Genomic DNA, 18083 nt, shown 5'->3' with positions numbered 1-18083 from the left:
AACTGGGTCACTGAAACTAGGATCTCCAGAATTGGGACTAGTGCATTAGACAAGTTGATTGGTTGGATTAAAAAGAGAACATCAAGTTTGCAGTTCTATTCTATGGACTGAGTGAATGTATGGGAAGAAGGTAAAAGAAGGGAGCTACCACCCGAACTTAGTCCCCTATGGTCATGAATACCACCAGTAGATCTGAGATCTAATTGGCAGCAAGGAGTGTGGGAGTCCCTCAGACATCTGGGGCCATTAAGTCTCAAGTCTAGACAGTAGACCTAATGTGAAACCAGTCTGCAATAGGGAGTTATGCAGCACTATTCATCTCCATCAGGAATAGCTCAGGCGGAGCTGTGCCTGAAGCTGTGGAGCATCAGCAGAGCTAGCTGTGACCAGCTAGGGATACAGAAGCAGTGAAAGCCAGGCTGGGGCTGATGCAGTGTTGAAAAAGTTGTGTCTCTGGACATGTCCAAAACAGTTGCCACATAGGAGCTCTCTTGACAATTGCCTGGACTACAGTCCACTGAAAATAACATTTCCTATCACAAGGAATTGATATACAAGATTGACATGCAGAAGGGGACACTAGGAGCCATCGTTTTGCCTTGAAGTGAAAACCCAAGACTGCTGTTTACTTCTCTTGCCAGTTTCTAATTTATATATTTACTTTCCAATTTTGCTTCTTCAGTGAATAAAAAAAGATCTGCTGATGAGAAGACAGGGAGAAGAAAGGAGAGCTCTGAGGCGGAAGCTTTGCTGCCATTTTAATATCAGCACTTCCCAGTCGCTACTTTTTAGTCATTTGAAAAAAATGTTTTAAAGGATGAACTTAATTGTGTTTTCTTCTTAGAAATTTTAACTTTGGGTGTAGAATATTCTGTCAATGGTAAGACAACATATCCCATCTGGAATGACACTGAAGGCCATTTTTAAATTTATCAGCAAAATAGAATAAATATTTGTAATACTAGGGTAAAAATTCTGACAAAGCATTGTAGCTACTTACAGGAGAAAAATTTAAATTCTACTGCTCTTTGACCAGCTAGGCAACTGACCTCTAAAAATTTTGATAAGCATATCCTCCAAGTGACAATGGCATTTTATTCATTAGAATGCGAGCTCCAAGAGGGCAGGTAATTTTGTCCATTTTATTCACTGCTATCTTTCCAGTACATAGATGATAGTGAACACATCTGTGAATAATATGTGAATTTCACATCTGCGAAAATACTGTGAATAAATGAATTAATTCAGGGCTTATGAGAAAAAACAATGAGATAAGAAATGATACCTGCACCCATTTCAGTGTTTCAACAAAGACTCAGCTTCTTTTCTCATGTCTTTATCTTTATGTCCTTCCTCTTCCTTCCACTCAATCTATTGCAGAATGTTTGGGTTTGCCAAAAACTTGATGAGGTCTCTCTGATTCTGAGCTTCCCGCTTGGTTCTGCTCTGATTCTAAAGAATCAAATGGAAAGAGCAAAGGATGAGAGTAAGTACAGCCACAAAAATTCCTGGGGATACTTCAGGATGCACAGAATAAGGGGTTTGGATAGTCATGGAAGGATGCAATTCTACTTCTAGCCTCTGGATCACGAGGAATAGAATGAAAGAGTATATTCTTAAATTGTGTTATGTGAGCTGATTTTTATCCTCTTTCTCAAAAACCCTGCAAGAATAGCCATATGCATATTTAATCCCCCCACTGAAATATTCCAACTGACAAAGGGTACCATTGTGCCATTTCCCACAAAAGGGTAACCATGCCTGTGGCTTCTTTCAGGTTTGGATTATTGTAGGCTCTTCGGTCATCTTTTGTCCAAGAAGAGAAGGCCACAGTCAAGGTACTGATTCTGCCAAACTCAGTCAAACATCCTGAAATGTGTTCCAACATTTGGAATTTGACAAAATCCCAGCACATTTGGCTTGAGTCCCCCTTTCCCCTTAATTACTGAGCCCAAACAGAAAATGTAATCCATCTGCTTCACAGTCATTTTCCCAAAACTCATCCAAATGTTCCTTGGTGAGAACTATTTGACGTCTTTGTTTTGTGGGCTTAACACCTTCCTTCTCACGTTTTGTTTCTTGGAACTAGGAAGCAGACAGAGCCAACAGTAACAGGACTCACTTTCAAACGCAAGACATAATCTGTAAAATCAGGTGCTGGGGGTGGAGGGTCAAGAGTCTCACCTCCAGAATGACAGCTGTGACATATCTGAGGGAGAATTAAGGAATTAATTCAGTTCACTGAGGATAGATTCCTTGCCACCCCATATCCACAGCGCCTGGGAGCCAACACCTCACCCCAGTTCCAGGGTGAGAAAGTCAGAGGCAGAGATTTCACTAATTTCTACTGTTTCGTGTTGGTCACTATTGTGAACACCCCAGCCTTGTACACAAGGATGCTCACAAGATCCATCTAATGGCATTTTGTAAGACCCTGAAACTCAAAATGAGACAAAAATGAGTTAAAATCCTAACTAGTATGGTAATTACTAGTTTTGTGACCTTGGGCAATTTCCTTATCTCTGAACTCATGTTTTCCCTTTGTAAATAAAACTAAAAGTTTCCTGGCATATTTATTATGAGACTTAGGTAAGATTACATAGTTTAGCACAGTACCTAGCATTTAGAAAGTGCTAAATTAACAATAGCTATTTGTATTGTTGGTTTTTATGACAGCTTTATTGAGATATAATTCACATGCCATGCAATGAACCAATTTATGTGTACAATTTAATGGTTTTTAGTAAATAACAGAGTTGTACAACCATCATTACAATAAATTTTAGAACATTTTATCACCCCCAAAAGAAGCTCCATATCCATTAGCATCACTTCCCATTTCTTCTTAATCCCAAGCAACTGCTAATTTACTCTTTGTATGGATTTGCCTATCCTGAACATTTCACGTACATGAAATGATATATGATCCTTTGTGAATGACTTCTTTCATTTGACATAATGTTTTCAAAGTTCCTCCATGTTGTACCATGTATCAGTACTTCATTGCCAAATAATATTTCATTGTACAGATATATTATGTTTTATTCAATCATCAGTCATTGGAAATTTGGACTATTTCCATTATTTGCCTATTATGAAAAATGCTCCTATGGACATTTACGTACAAGTTTGTGTGTTGACCTGTGTTTTTATTTCTTCTGTATCTATACTTAGGAGTAGAATTTCAAAGTCAAATGTTAACCTTTTGAACATTAAACCTCTGTGTTCAACATTTTAAAAAACTGCCTTGTATTTTCCAAAGTGGCTGCACTGCCTAACATTCCTTTTAGCAGTGTATGAGAACTCCAACTTCTTCATATCCTTGCCAACACTTGTTATTATTCATCTTTTTCATTATAGCCATCCTAATGGGTGTGAAGTGGCATCTCACTGCAGTTTTAGTTTGCACATCCCTGATTGCTAATTATGTTGAACATACTGTATGCACTTATTGGCCATTTGTATATCTTCTTTGGAGAAATGTCTATTCAGATTATTTTCCATTTTTTAATTAAGTTTTTGTCTCTTGTTGTATCATTTCTTTATGTATTTTAGATACAAGCCCTGCTGTAGCCTGAATGTGTTTCCTCAAAATTCATATGTTAAAGTCTAATCACCAATGTGATAGTATTAAGATGTAGGGCCTTTAGGGGTGATTAAGTTATGAGAGTAGAATCCTCGTGAATGAGATTAATGACCTCATGAAAGAGGTTCGAGGGAGCTATTCATCCCCTTGGCCCTTTCATCCCTTCTATCATGTGAGGACCTAATAACAAGGCACTATTTTGGAAGCCCAGAGCAGCTCTCACCAGCCCCTAGATTTGCTAGTGCCTTGATATTGAATGTCCCAGCCTCCAGAACTATGAGAAATAGATTTCTATTACTTATATAAATTACCTGCTCTTCAGTATTTTGTTATAGCAACAGGAATGCCCCTTATCAGATATATGATTTGCAGAAATTTTCTCCCATTCTGTGCATTGTCTTGTCACTTTCTTTATGGTTTCTTTTGAAGCACAAAAGTTATTAATTTTAATAAAGTTACATTTATCTATTTTGTTTATTTTTTTGCTTATGCTTTTGGTGCTAGATCTAAGACATTATTGGCAAATCCATAAAAAAATTTGCCCCTATGTTTTCTTCTAAGAATTTTATAGCTTTAGCTCCTACATTTAAGGTCTTTGATCTATTTTGAGTTAATTTTTATATACGGTGGCAGGTGATCTAATTTCATTCTTTTGCATATGGATATCCGGTTGTCTCAGTACCATTTGTTGAAAAAGATTATTCTTCCCCCATTGAATTTTCTTGATACTCCTTCATGGAAAATCAATTTATTGTAATTGAGAGGGTTTATTTCTGGATCCTCAATTCTATTCTATTGATTTATATATCAATCCTCATGCCAGTACAACACCATCTTGATTACTGTAGATTTGTAGCAAGTTATTTGTAGTAAGCTATTTTTTTAGGCAGGGTCTCACTCTGTTAGTGCAGTGGAATGATCACAGCTCACTGCAGCCTCAACCTTCTGGGCTCAAGCAATCCTACCACCTCAGCCTCCCAAGTAGCCAGGACAACAGATGCACACTACCATGGTTGGCTAATTTTTTGTTTATTTATTTTGTGGATTTGGGATTCCCTATATTTCCTAGGCTGGTCTTGAACTCCTGAACTAAAATGATCCTCCCACTCTCCTACCTCAGCCTCCCAAATTGCTAGGATTACAGGCATGAGCCTCTGCACCCGGCCTGTAGTAAATTTTTATATCAGGAACTGCAAATCTTCCAATTTTGTTCTTCTTTTTCAATATTGTTTTTCTATATATAAAATTATGTATCCTCAGATAGTTTTGCTTTTTCCTTTCCAATCTTAATGTCTTTTATTTCTTTTTCTTGCCTAATTACCCTGGCTAAAGCCTCCAGCACAATTTTGAAAAGGAGTGTTAAGAGCAGACACCTTGGTCTTATTTCTGATCTTAGGGGGAAAGCTTTTAGCCTTTCACAATTAAGTATGTTAGCTGTGGTTTGTTCATAAACACCCTTTAGCAGGTTGGGGAAGTTCCCTTCTATTTCTAGTTTGTTATGTGTTTTCTATCATGAAGGGGTGTCGCTGTTATTAAACAACAATGCCGCTGTTTTCTTTTTCCCGTTTTTCCTCTCTTCTTTCCTTTTCTTTTTTTTTTTTTTTTTTTTTTTTTTTGATTTCTTTCCAGAGCCTGGTAGGACACCAGGACAACATCAGGAAAGAGGAAGCCACAGGCTGCCATGCATTCACTCCCTGAAGTGCCCTGTGAGCCAGCATCTGCCACCTCCTCCCTCCTGGCCACCCTTCTGACCGTGCCCTTGCTGTTCTGGCACAAGATGCACCCCTCCCACTTTGATCTGCTTCACTGGCTTACCATCTTCTAGTTTTGGGGTCTGTGGCTTCCTGTCACTCTTCTTCATGGTTCGGATCTCTTTTCTACCTCTTTCCAGGTGTCCTACACTGCTTTGGCAGCTACTGGTGTTTGGAAAGCTAAAGGCTATTTTCCAGACAGAAGAATTTCCTTTTCACTCCTGTACCCAATTTAATTCCACAAATATTTCATGACCACTTTTTTCTCATGCCAGTCATTGTTCTTGTTTGATCCTAGTAATACTCACAATAACCCTATGAAGTTGTTTTTTGTTTGACCCATTTTACAGAAGAGAAAACAGAGCCTCCACATAGCTAAGTAGTTTGTCCAAGATTACATACATAGTAAGTGGAAAAACCAGAATTTTTTACAGATCTGCAAGATCTATCTGCTTAGAGCAAAAAAGAGTGATACTCACACAGTGACAAATGCTGAGATAGAACTCAGGGCACCAGTTGCCATGTTGGAATAGCCAGGAGGAGCTAGGAAAGTGGTCTTGTTTAAAACCCAAGGCTGCTATTGATCTGGCCTCTGCCAACTTCTCTGACCTCATCTTTCAAAAAATACATGCCTACCCACCCAAGACATGCTGAATCACATCATGCGATCTCCGTTTCTGTGCTTTTTCCCTCTATCTCAGCCAACTGCCTCCCCCATGCAACTGTGAACTTCCAGATGCCTGGCTAACTTCTATTCTTACTTTGAGACCCAACCTTGGATTCGTTTCTCATGAAAAGTCTTTCTGACCCACCCCAAGCTGTGCTGCATCATATCCTGTACATACCTGTATCATGGTACTCACCAAACTTAGGTCTTACTCCCTCTCCCTCTCCCCTATGACCAATCACCAATAAACTGTGAGCCCTTCAAGGTAGAGTCATGGTTAGTTTTCCTCTGTAACCCCTAGGACCCAGGAGAGTTCCTGGCTCATAGTGTGTTCTTAGCCATGGTTTCTTGAATAACTAATTGAAATCTTTGGGATGAGCTCTTGTAGACAGATACCCTCTCTGACTAGATTTAAATTTTCTTTCTGCCCAAATAGATTAAAAGGTGCGACATTTTCTTGTTCTCTTTCAAACTGAGGAATCTGAATTCTAAACCAAGGAGTGCAAGCCTGTGAAATTTGAGCTTCAGACAATAAAGCTACTTTTCCACTTTGTACATGACAACTCACAGTCATCAGTTCTCCATAAGGCAAACCTCACCAAAGATGATAATCCAAAGGAGGAAACCAAGGACCTCACTTTAAATGCACAGCAGGAGCACCCTCCCATTCTACCGGAAGAACTGACCTTCTTAGGTGCTTCCCCACATCCAGGGATCTGCAGTCAAGGCCACCTTTAGGTTAAAAAGCACAAGATGGTCATTTCTTCAGCTATTAAACAAAATAATAACTTGACTTCTGGCTCAATGCCAGCTCAGTGAAAATAAGCCAACTGCAAGAAGAGGAACTTTCTGGACTCTGTGGCAACTCTTAGAGCAAAGTTTTAGCACAGCTACTTTTTGCCTTCTCCTCCAAGAGAGAAAGCTGTGAGGTCAGGTCCAGGATGACAATACCCAACAACCCCCAAAAGACTCTTGGTTTTAATCCTTGCCAATTTCCCTCCAAGCCCTGGCACAACTTGAGCTGAAAACACACATGCTATTTTCATTTAAGCGAGAATGCTGAACCACTGGGTATTTTTTTCCTGGGTTTTCTGTTAACTCTGTCTACAAAATGTGGTTTTAAGAAATATTACTCCTGGTCATTTATCTAACAGACCATACTGTGATCTGTAAGCTCCATCTTTCTTGCAGCTTTCACATTCTATTAAAATGGGATCTTTTACCAGGAAATTTACTCAGACGGGGGAGTTCATTTGAGGTTAAAACTGTAAAGTGGCCAATTATCTCTCAGTCATTGGTTGCATATGATCTTTACCCCAAGCTTTGGAAATAAAGACAACATTTAGCAAACGTTCTGCTCCAAAGCTAATGTTTTGGAAAGAATAACAGCATGTTGGGAATAAATTACATGGTCTTTAGTGCATTTTAGTGTTATTGCCTGTTAACACACACCGTGGTGTGCCAACTTATAAGAGAACTCCAGTCTTCTAGGGAATCGATTTCTGATTTGTTGAGCTGATGGCGTCCGTGTTATATCATTGAACAGACAAGTAGTACAGGGGGCCATGTCTGTGGGACCTCACCTAGGGGAAGCTATGACTCATAGGCTGTCTTTTCATTCTGATACTGTCCAGACCATTAACACGCCATGGGTAATGGCATATGAGGTCTTTCATCTAGGACTATCCAGTTACCCACTCATGAGCTATATTGATCCTAAAAGAGTCATTTAATATACCTAAATCAAGTAACTAATATAGCCTTGCTAAAAGGCCTACTAGGTACCAGGTTTTTGGCCAGGCTCTGTAGAAGAATAGTAGGATGCTTAAAGAGAGCCTTGATTCCATTTGTATGAAATATCCAGAATATTTCATAGAGAAATATCCAGACAATTTCATAGAGTCAAAAATTACATTAGTGGTTTCCTAGACCTGGGAAGACAGGAGGATTGGAGAATGTTGGCTAAAACATTTGGGATTTCTTTGGGGGTGATCATGAAAATGTTATAAAATTGATTAAGATGATGGCTGCCCAAGTCTGTGAATATAATAAAAGCCATTGAAGCATATACTTTAAATGGGTGAATCGTATGTGAGATATGTGAATGATATCTCAATAAAGCTGTTAAAAAATTAAAGAAGAAGAACCTTGTCCTCATGAAGAGAGGAAATGTTAGTAATTTCAGGTAGACAGCACTAAGGACTAGAGACAGGTACCACGAAATGCCAAGGGAAATCCAAAACTGTGTAACTTCCATTAGACTTTGTAGGATTTCCTTTCTTTGGGGACTGTTTCACTCTGTCTTTGGTTTCAAAAGATGAGAGGTCTTGTTTAGGTCTCTGAGGGTAGGAGCAGAAAGACAGCTCCTAATAACTGAATAAATAAAAAACTCATGATAAGACAGCAAAAGATGTCCTGGGAGTAGGAACATCAGACTTGAACCTGTTGGCAGGTTCCCGATGCAAGCCAACCTCAAACCTCTCTTATAGCTGGTTGCAAGCAAGGTGTTTTATTTAAAGGGGAAAGGAGTCAGGGATTTTTTTCCTTTAGACTAACAAGAAGCTGCCTGTTACTGTACCTTCTCCAGTCTAAAGACAATTTTACCGAAGAGCACCATCCCCACACCTACTCAATCTCCCACATTCCAGGGACAAAGGTATCTAGGATCAGAGCAGCCCACGAAATAAATAAGCAACAATTAGCCCTGTGGTAACTTGTAAGCCAAAATGTTACTCCATGCACAAACAGCTCAGGTGTGCACTGTTGTTCAGGCCACACCTGCTGCCATAGAAATTCTTTAGGCAGATAAATTGTATTTCAGGCTTAAGTGATCTATCTTTTAGCGGAGTGGGCTTGATTAATTTTAAAAGATGTATTTCCACATTTACCTTTGCTGAACTCCCTCTCTACTATCATTTTTTGGATTATTTCCCCAAATTTCCAATATTTAGCCAAAAGCAAAATTATCAAGTGTATTTACTATAAATAATTCCCAATAATTTCAAATATAATCATGCTTTTTAAACTCTTAAACTAATTTAAATATCTTAAATATTATAGTAAATTGCTTTTGTGCATAACATTGAACTTCCAAGCAGCAATGCACATAAGCATTTTAGAGAAGTTTACAAAGAGATTATTCTACTGGGCTGTAGACCTGAATTCCAGGCTTAGTTTACTCAGTAAGTGTGGGCCTCTTTTCTTCCTGAGGATCTGCCACAATTTTTCACTGTTCTTGGTTTCTGAGTTTCTCAAAGCTGAAACAGAGGCTGAGCTGAGGGTTCAGTAAAAAAGATGGTAGAGCATGCATCAGAGAGCCCCAAACTCCGCTTGTCTTCTAGAGTTGTCTATGACACAATCCTGTCCCCTGGATGACAGTTCTGCTAGTTCCACACAGGAGTACTTTGAAGCTTATGGGTCAAAGTAAACTGAGTGGTGTTGTGTCTGTCTTGCCCCTGTGAGCCCCATTTCCCTGGGACATGCAGAGAGAGCATTCCTTTCTCCAGTGTTCACCACCACCTGCCTTCCATGACAGTGCAAGCATTGGCTTCGGGAAGCTGCCAACTTTCTAGTGTGGTTCTTGAACCCTTGACCTTCCAGGCAAACGCAATGATGCTACCAGCTGAGCGACACAGACCTATTTCCTGCGTCAATGACTAAACAAATCCAAAGGTATGTGAAGCATTTCTTTCCCCCCGACCTTGTTCAGCCTTGGCACAGCTGCTGGCACAGCCAGAGGTGCCTGGCCCCAGGAGCAGCTGCTCAGTGTCTGCCAAGCCTCCGGAGGGCAGAGCTGTTTGTCAGCTGGTTAGTGCATTTTTTCACCTTGGTTCTCCTAAAATTGAAAATAACTAGAATACAACTCATTTTAGTGAACACTTTTGATCTTTTTTTCTTCTGTTTCTCCTCTTATCTAATCCTCATCTATTTTGTTATTAATGGGAACCATTAACACATGACAGGGTAGACAAATGTGCATGTCCCTTCATTTTCAAACCTCCTCCTTCCTCTAGAATGGATATGAATAAGCTCACACTCTAGAATGGAGATTAAAATATCAGAGTGTCAGCAAAATTAAGAAAGGAAAGAAGCAATAGGCTTTGTAATCGACGCATTGAATTCTCTTTTGAAACAATTTTTCTTTTTTTTTTTTTTGACACAGGGTCTTCCTTCCTCTGTCACCCAGGCTGGAGTGCAGTGACACGATCTCTCAATCTCTCATAACTGCAGCCTTGACTTCCCAGGCTCAAGTGATCCTCCCACCTCAGCCACTTGAGTAGCTGGAACCACAGGCATGTGCCACTATGGCCGGCTATGTTTTTATTTTTAGTAAAAACAAGGTCTCACTATATTGTCCAGGCTGGTCTTGAACTCCTGGGCTCAAGAGATCCTCTGGCCTCAGCCTCCCAAAGTTCTAGGATTACAGGCGTGAGCCACCATGCCCAGCAAGGAATATTTTTAAGGAATATGGGACAACATGGAAAAATGCTCACTCTATTGTCTGATTACAGTTACATAAGAATAGATGATGCACGAGCAAAGACTATGCTGTATTCTACAAGTGGAATGTGAATATTTTCTTTATTAAACTTCTGGCCAGGCACGGTGGCTCACAGCTGTAATCCCAGCACCTTGGGAGGCCAAGGCAGGCAAATCACCTGAGATCAGGAGTTCGAGACAAGCCTGGCCAACATGATGAAACCCTGTCTCTACTGAAAACACAAAAATTAGCTGTCTCTACTGAAACACAAAAAAACCTGTCTCTACTGAAAACACAAAAATGTTGGTGCACACCTGTAATCCCAACTACTCGGGAGGCTGAAGCAGGAGAATCACTTGAACATGGGAGGCAGAGGTTGCAGTGAGCCGAGATCGCACCACCGCAGCACCCCAGCCTGGATAACAGAGCAAGGTGCTGTCTCAAAATAAATAAATAAATAACGTACTTCTTTTAATGTCATTATAATATTGTTTAAATAGCATTTTTTAAATAAGAGAGGAAAGGAAAACAGTGTAACAAATCACAAGCACACACAAAACTGCCCTGCTCATTTTTAATTTGGTGTGTTGATTACTGGATATAAAACGAAACCTCATTCTACTCTTCTTTTCATTCTTGCTCTCCCTTTGCAAGGCACAACCCAACCCCTTTGGTACCAAGAAGTGAGGAACTGAGTTCAGTTCTGTTCTCAATCACTCTGGGAGCAGCTCCCATTTCCAGGATTCACCGTGACTGCCCACTCTCCCCGTGGGGAGGAGTGATAACTCTCATGACTGCGGAAAGGCACATCACTGATTATCTTCCAGAAGGGGTGACTGAGAACTTTTTCTAACTAAAGGATCCTTCTCATCTCTGAGTGACAGGGCTGTGAATTCCCAAAGCCTTGGCAAAGCACCCGAATTTTCTTTCCAGCTTACTCCCAATAAGATGGGGTGAAAAGGACTAAATGACACAGATTTAGCCTGGACATCCTGGCTCCAAGCCAGGTGAGGCTCCATCTCAACAAATCCATCATCTTCCTCAGAGTCTGTGAGTGTAACGTTCCTAAGTCAGCCTTGCAACATGGAGGTTAACGTTGAAAATGGTGACTTTGGCTGAATGGGCTCCACTGGAAATGTTGACAGTCTGATTAATTTTTTCAAATCATTGACCTCACACTTTCTCTTGGTGCTTTCTTTGAAGATATGGGGCAGGTGAGGAATCTAATCTGGCACTCCCACATTGCATGTTTTCATACAGCTGTTGTAGCAAGCCTTGGCAACAGAATGTCTGGGCTTAAAACTTGGCACATCATTTGCTAACCTGCTTAACGTCTCTAAGCATCATTTTCCTTCTTTGTACCATGGGGGAAATACTAGTGCCTACTACCTCTTATGGGTGTTGTGAGGGTAAAATGAAGTGATGCCTGTAAGGTATTCCCATAGTGCTTGGCACACAGTGCAGACTTAAGAAATGTTGGTAGTGATGTTTGTAATTATTATTATTATCATCTCTATTATATTACCCCTCCATTCTTTACTTTATTCACCTCAAAGTGAACTAGAAGCACCTTGATATGGAGATGAGGGCAGGAAACCTGGAATCAGATCTCTTTAGTTCTACTCACTGAATGGCCTTTGGCAAGTTACTTTCACATCTGAATCTACTTCCACATCTGTAAAATACAGATCACAACACCCACCTCAGAGCGCTACCAGGAAGATTCAATGTAATAAAATACAGGAAAATGCTTGATACATACTGAGTGCTCAGTAAATAATGGTTGAATCAGGACTCAGGTTTGGGTCACTCACCCAGATTGTCCCATTTTAACTTGGGTTTCAACTAAAGGAGAAGGCATCCCACGCTCCTCTAGGTCACTTCCAGCAAAAACCAGCAGGACAAGGGAGCCAAAACATTAGCAAGCTTTTGGCAGATGCCTGACAAGGAGTGTGATCACAAGACCTCCGTGCAGAATTTTCACAACTGAATGTGCAAATGACACTTATTCAAGCTGAAATATCACCCAAGTGTGTTTTGGAACCACAGTGACGACATCCCAGCTGGACTGTGGAAGTGAAGCTGTCCAGCCAAGGGTTTTATTATTTTTATTTAAAAGTGTGAATCATCAGACAGGCAATGCTCTCCAGCCAGGTGCTGTATTCAGATTCCACGTCAATATCTACTTTTTTGGCAGCCGAGCAAAGTGAAGGTGCCAATGAGAAATTGTTCTGGGTGAGAGATCTCTGTTTTAAGCAGAGTAACCTTGGGACTATCTCTTACACTGCCTAGGACTCAGTTTCCTCATATGTAAAATAAAATGACAATAGGAAATACTGCATAGTTGGTTGTCAGGATTAAATGAGATAATATGTGAAAAGTGCTTGGAAGAGAACATAGTAAGTGCTAGATATGTGTTTGCTATAATGATAATAATTGATTTGCTAAGGCCTTTAGGATTTTCGAAAGGCATCATGTTTTTGCCTCTCTATAACTGGTTTATATTCTATTTGGAGGAAAGACTTTGTATGTAACAAAGGAAATGGTGACACAGAACTGTTTGAAATATATGACAACTGAGCATGATTCCTATAGTCTGAGTGGCTAAGAACAATTCTCTGCAGAAGAAAATATTAGAGGTAGGCCATGCAGAAAATGTAGAAATCGAAGTAATTAATAGGGAGAGAAGGGCATTCTATAGATGGGTAATAGCTTGGAACAACTATCCGGCCTCCCCTGATGTCTTTAAAGAACTCTGGCAGCTTGGGTGTAACTCTGCAATAAAAGAAAAATCCAAGGTTTTAAGATGGCTTAAACTGCCTAATTTCTCCTGCTCCATACAGCAATTCTTGCTTTTATTCTCCTGGTCATTAAGCCACTAACTCTCACTGCCCAGCTATTGTTTTATCCTAGTGTTGCCCCATTAGCTCAACACATAGTTCTGCGTTTAAATTTTAAACCCCAATTTCCCTCCTGACTATGGTTTCCTCTAGTGGACTCTTAGGGAAGCATCCCAACAGGTTGACACAGTTATCCAAAATCTTTTTTCCAAATACTACATCCACAGGGAGCTCCTACAAGTCTCATGAACTGGATATGGGTAAACAGTGAGAGGCTCTGTTATGTTTTAGGGACAACGAGTAGATGAGGTTCACTCCTGTGATAAAGGCAGTAGAGGATAATAAAAGCACATTAGGCTCACATACAATGAAGGAGCTTCCTAGAAGCACAGACAATTCAGTGGGACAAGCCCCCTACCCCTGGAGTCTCAGTAGATGGGAAAGCCCGGGCTCTAGATTTTATAGGTAGGTGGATATTCAGCTAGGCCCAGAAACCTCCCCAGTGACTCTCATCCAAATTTTACCATTGGTTTGCTCGGCCTTCCCAGTACTTAACTACATTGACTTTGCTCGGCCAGGCACCATGGCTCAAGCCTATAATCCCAATGCTTTGGGAAGCCAAGGCAGGAGGATCACTTGAGGCCAGGAGTTTGCGACCAGCCTGGGCAACATAGTGAGACCCTGTCTCTACAAAAAATAAAGATTAGCCAACATAGTGGTGCATGCCTGTGGTCCCAGCTACTATGGAGGCTGAGGCAGGAGAATCATTTGAGCCTGGGAGTTTAATGTTGCAGTGAGTGATGATCCCACCACTGCACTCCAGCCTGGGTGAAAGAGTGAGACCCTGTCTCTTAAAAATAATAGTAATACTGACTTTGCTTCCTGCTTTGAACAGTGTTATGTATCTACCAACTAGAAGGTAAATTTCTAATAGTAACAGCTTTAGTCCTTTCTGCTGTTTTGTTTTCAATGTTTTTACAGAGCTAAACTCTGTACTTGGTGTGTATAGAGAAAACACACACACAAAATGCAAAAACAGTAACAACAAAAGCAAAATAAGAACACTCTGGCCAGATGTGGTGGCTCATGCCTGTAATCCCAGCATTTTGGGACGCCGAGGCGGGCGAGTCATGAGGTCAGGAGATCAAGACCATCTGGGCCAACATGGTGAAACCCCATCTCTACTAAAAATACAAAAATTAGCTGGGCATGGTGGCCCACACCTGTAATCCCAGCTACTCAGGAGGCTGAGGCAGGATAATCGCTTGAACCCGGGAAGCGGAGGTTGCAGTGAGTTGAGATCGCGCCATTGCACTCCAGCCTGGGTGACAGAGCAAGACTTCGTCTCCAAAAAAAAAAAAAAAAGACTCTGAGAATGCTCTGATTTTGGAAACAATCTCAAACAATCTCAAGTCAGAAGCTGTAGGTTCCAGTCCTGGTTCCACAATTTACTAGCTGAGATATCAATATGTTACAAAGTTTTCTAAGCATCCCTCCCTATCCACAAAATAGAGATTATGACATCTGCTTACCTTAAGGGGTATAGTATACAGAGAGATAATAGATGTAATATCATATATAAAGAAACTTTTCAAATAAAGGAAAAATAAGTCAACTCAATCTAAATTTATAAAGAGTTTGTGTTTTGTTTTTTGTTTGAGAGAAGGAGAGACAATGAGGACAACCACTATTTTGAAGACTATAAAGGGAAAATTCTAAATATTATTTTTTCATGTCAGAATTTTATTATATCATTTGGACACAGAGAAGAAGTAAGCTAATAAAGAGCATTACTTCATAGTCTTTGGCCAAAAATGTCTTTTTTACCCCAAGGTTGGAGAAGACTACTGATGTAGGATTTAGGATTAGCTGGTTTTTGCTCACTTTGCATTGTGTAGATGTTTCTTGAACACCATTGCCTCACCAGATATTGAGGAGAAATACTTTAGAGTAGCTGGCCAATACGGGATTGGCTCAAGCCCATTATTCTTAGCTGACCTCTTAGAAACTATACATAAAATATGCTGGGTGGGGTTGAGGGGGAAGGAAATTCCTTTGTTTTTTGAGGAAGTGTTAGCTTTGGCTCATTCCAGGATGGACCTTCCAGGGTTCTTCAGTTTTCCTTTCTCTTAAAGATTTTTCTTTAAGACGTATTACTGCCCCTTAGTTACAGCAGGATTAAGGTCCAGTGTAATGCTGCTAAGCTTTGGACAGAGAGAAAAGAGTACGACTTGCTTGCTAATCTGAGTGATTAGGAATAACGTGCGAACATCCAAACTCTGTGTGCTTTGGGTTGATGTGACCCTTGTTTTGCCACATGTGCTTCTCATAATTGCAATAAAGCATAAGAAGGCCAGTGGCCAGTGTGGAAAGGTGAACCACAACCTAATAAATGCATATTATTTGCCAGACTTTTCTAGCCTTTTGGTTAAGTTATTGGATCTTTGCAGCAAAGACTGAGCCAACATGGATGAGTTACCTCCTTTTTATGGATGAGTAAACTCATGTCAAATAATTTGCTTAAAATCAGATGGCTGATAAGTGGTAGAGAATGCTTCTCAGAGAATGTGAAGTTAATCCAAGTTCTGAGGGAGGTGAGGTGCGTCAACCATCCTATGGAGTTGTAAAGGCATTTTATGCATTGCATTTGGCAATTCATAGATTACAAATAACTTGGCCCAGAAGACTTGAAGACTTGGGTTCCAAACCTTGGTCTAATATTTATAAGCTATGTGACCTTTGACAAATCACTTCATATATTTGAGTTGAGGTACTCTACCTCAGGTTGTTGTTCAGAGGATTAAATGATATAATATATATAAAGCTATCACAAGACTTGGGACCTAGGAGGCATTTAAATTGTAGTCACCACCATCATTATCATCATTATTAAAAGCATTATTTTCACCAACGCAGTAATTATCATTATCGCTAATATCTACTTTATTTGCCCTTAGAATTTTAGAGGGTTATAATAAGATAATGAATGTGAAAATGCTTTGTACCAAAAAAATTAGAAGCATTTATATCTGGGGGAGATTCAAATATAATTTTCAAATGTAATAGATTGAATTCAAGAGAATTATTGTGAATTCCATGGTAGTCTCGACTCAAGTTGCTCTAGAGTCTTAACCCTGAAAATGCTGAAAGTTGACTTAAAGTGAAAAAGCAAACATATTTCACCAATCTTCAGACCATGGTGTTGGCACTTATAAAGGCCAACTATATATTGATTACTTGATTAATTATTGACTTCATATTAAAGCTTTAACAAGAAGGTCTATCAAATATTCTACAGCACAATTCATCAAAAAGAGTGGGGTATCAGTCAGAGATTTACTGTTTTATATAAGGCAATGTTCTCTTAAACCTATGAATAGGGAGAAAAATAAGGATCTAAAAATTCTCTTTGTGCCCAAAGGAGATGGGAAGGACGGAAGGAGAGTCCATGTTTAACTAAAATTGTACATATGATTCTGATACATATGTCAGTCTTGCCAAGCCGCATGTGAAAAAGGAATAGCAACTAAGACATAGAATGCCAATGACTAGCTTCTGCCAGTAGAAATCTATGGGTTGTTTAGTTTTATAAACACTTCTGAGAACTCAGCCTTTAATGAACACAGCTGCTGCCAACTCAGTGGTTTCCAAGAAGCAGTCATGGTGATGATAAAGAAAGAAATCCCATAACCTATCAACATGGTTTTACTGCTGTAAAGACTAGACTATCATTAATAGTTCATTTCTGAAGACTATTATGGCCTAACTTCTGCATCAAAGGAGAATTCTGGAAATCAGAAGGAAACTTCCACCATCACCATCACTGTCTCCCTCATTCTTCACATGTTCTGATTTACTTTGTTTTTCTATACATCTATATAAGTTTCATTTTTGATACAGGGAACATTGCATCAAATGCAGTCTGAGTCATTAGCAGATTAGCACTCATCCATGACCTGTGTGAAACTTAGCAATATAAAAGTCAAGTCTTCTCAGGTCTCAATTGAGAAATCTCTGTCTCTTCCAAAAACCTCTTTTTCATGATGAAGCTGACAACATTTTCCTGTTCTGTAATATATATGAAATGGAAGACACAATCTTGTATAAATACTTACACAAACACAAACACTGTAATAGTGATGTCTACACTCCCATCTAAAACTCAGCAGGTATTAGCATGTTCCTGTCCAGTACCGAGGTTTAACTGGGAGACTTCCTTCCTTAATTCCTCACACTGCCCTCATTAGTTGTACAGATGTTCACTTGAAACTTGAGAGAATTCTCAAGTTATCAAGGAGGGTCATCATCCTAGGGTAGGATGTTGTTTCCTACCTGGCAGTCTTATTCTAGTCCTATATTCAGATGGTATTTTCAGAGGGTAAATTCAGTGGTAATTTTCTGGCTATGAATTCATAAATGTTTAAAAACTAGCTTCCCCAACACACAGTCTTGTTTTGTACCATTTGCCAATTTCTCTGATATAAATACTTCTACCACATTATATACATTTAAGCCACCAACGTAATGGTACTGAACTTGGATTTGGGAAGATATACACACAACAGTTTCTTGCAAGCCAGTAAGAACCAGTACCTCCAGCACACCACTGTCATAAAGTCCTTCTCCTGGTTTATTGCTCTGGCACTCTCTGTAGAGGATCACTCTCAAATATGAAACCCAGATCTCCAAATTTTGAGTCTAGATCCCCTCTCTTTCTGTTTTTCTTGCTTGCCTATACTTCTATTTTCTAATAATAGGA

The 18083-nt window shown here is 39.8% G+C and overlaps 1 protein-coding gene across 6 annotated transcripts in view; it reads right to left on the bottom strand.

Annotated features, from left to right (window-relative positions):
- PCTP (phosphatidylcholine transfer protein) overlaps positions 1-18083 on the bottom strand; it is a 101665-nt gene that overhangs the window by 28503 nt on the left and 55079 nt on the right. For 5 of the 6 annotated variants that reach the window (XM_047436500.1, XM_047436502.1, XM_047436499.1 and 2 more), the window contains exon 6: positions 1286-1452. In XM_047436500.1, coding sequence (XP_047292456.1) covers positions 1372-1452 — 81 coding nt within the window. In that variant the 3' untranslated portion in view covers positions 1286-1371. Of the gene's footprint in view, positions 1-1075; positions 1453-18083 lie in introns of those variants that run through there. The other variant, NM_001330378.3, reaches the window with a different exon arrangement.

Source organism: Homo sapiens, chromosome 17 (assembly GCF_000001405.40).
Source record: "Homo sapiens chromosome 17, GRCh38.p14 Primary Assembly".
Lineage (NCBI taxonomy): Eukaryota > Metazoa > Chordata > Mammalia > Primates > Hominidae > Homo > Homo sapiens.
Note: the sequence above shows the minus strand (reverse complement) of the source record. Positions and strands in the feature narration are given on the sequence as shown.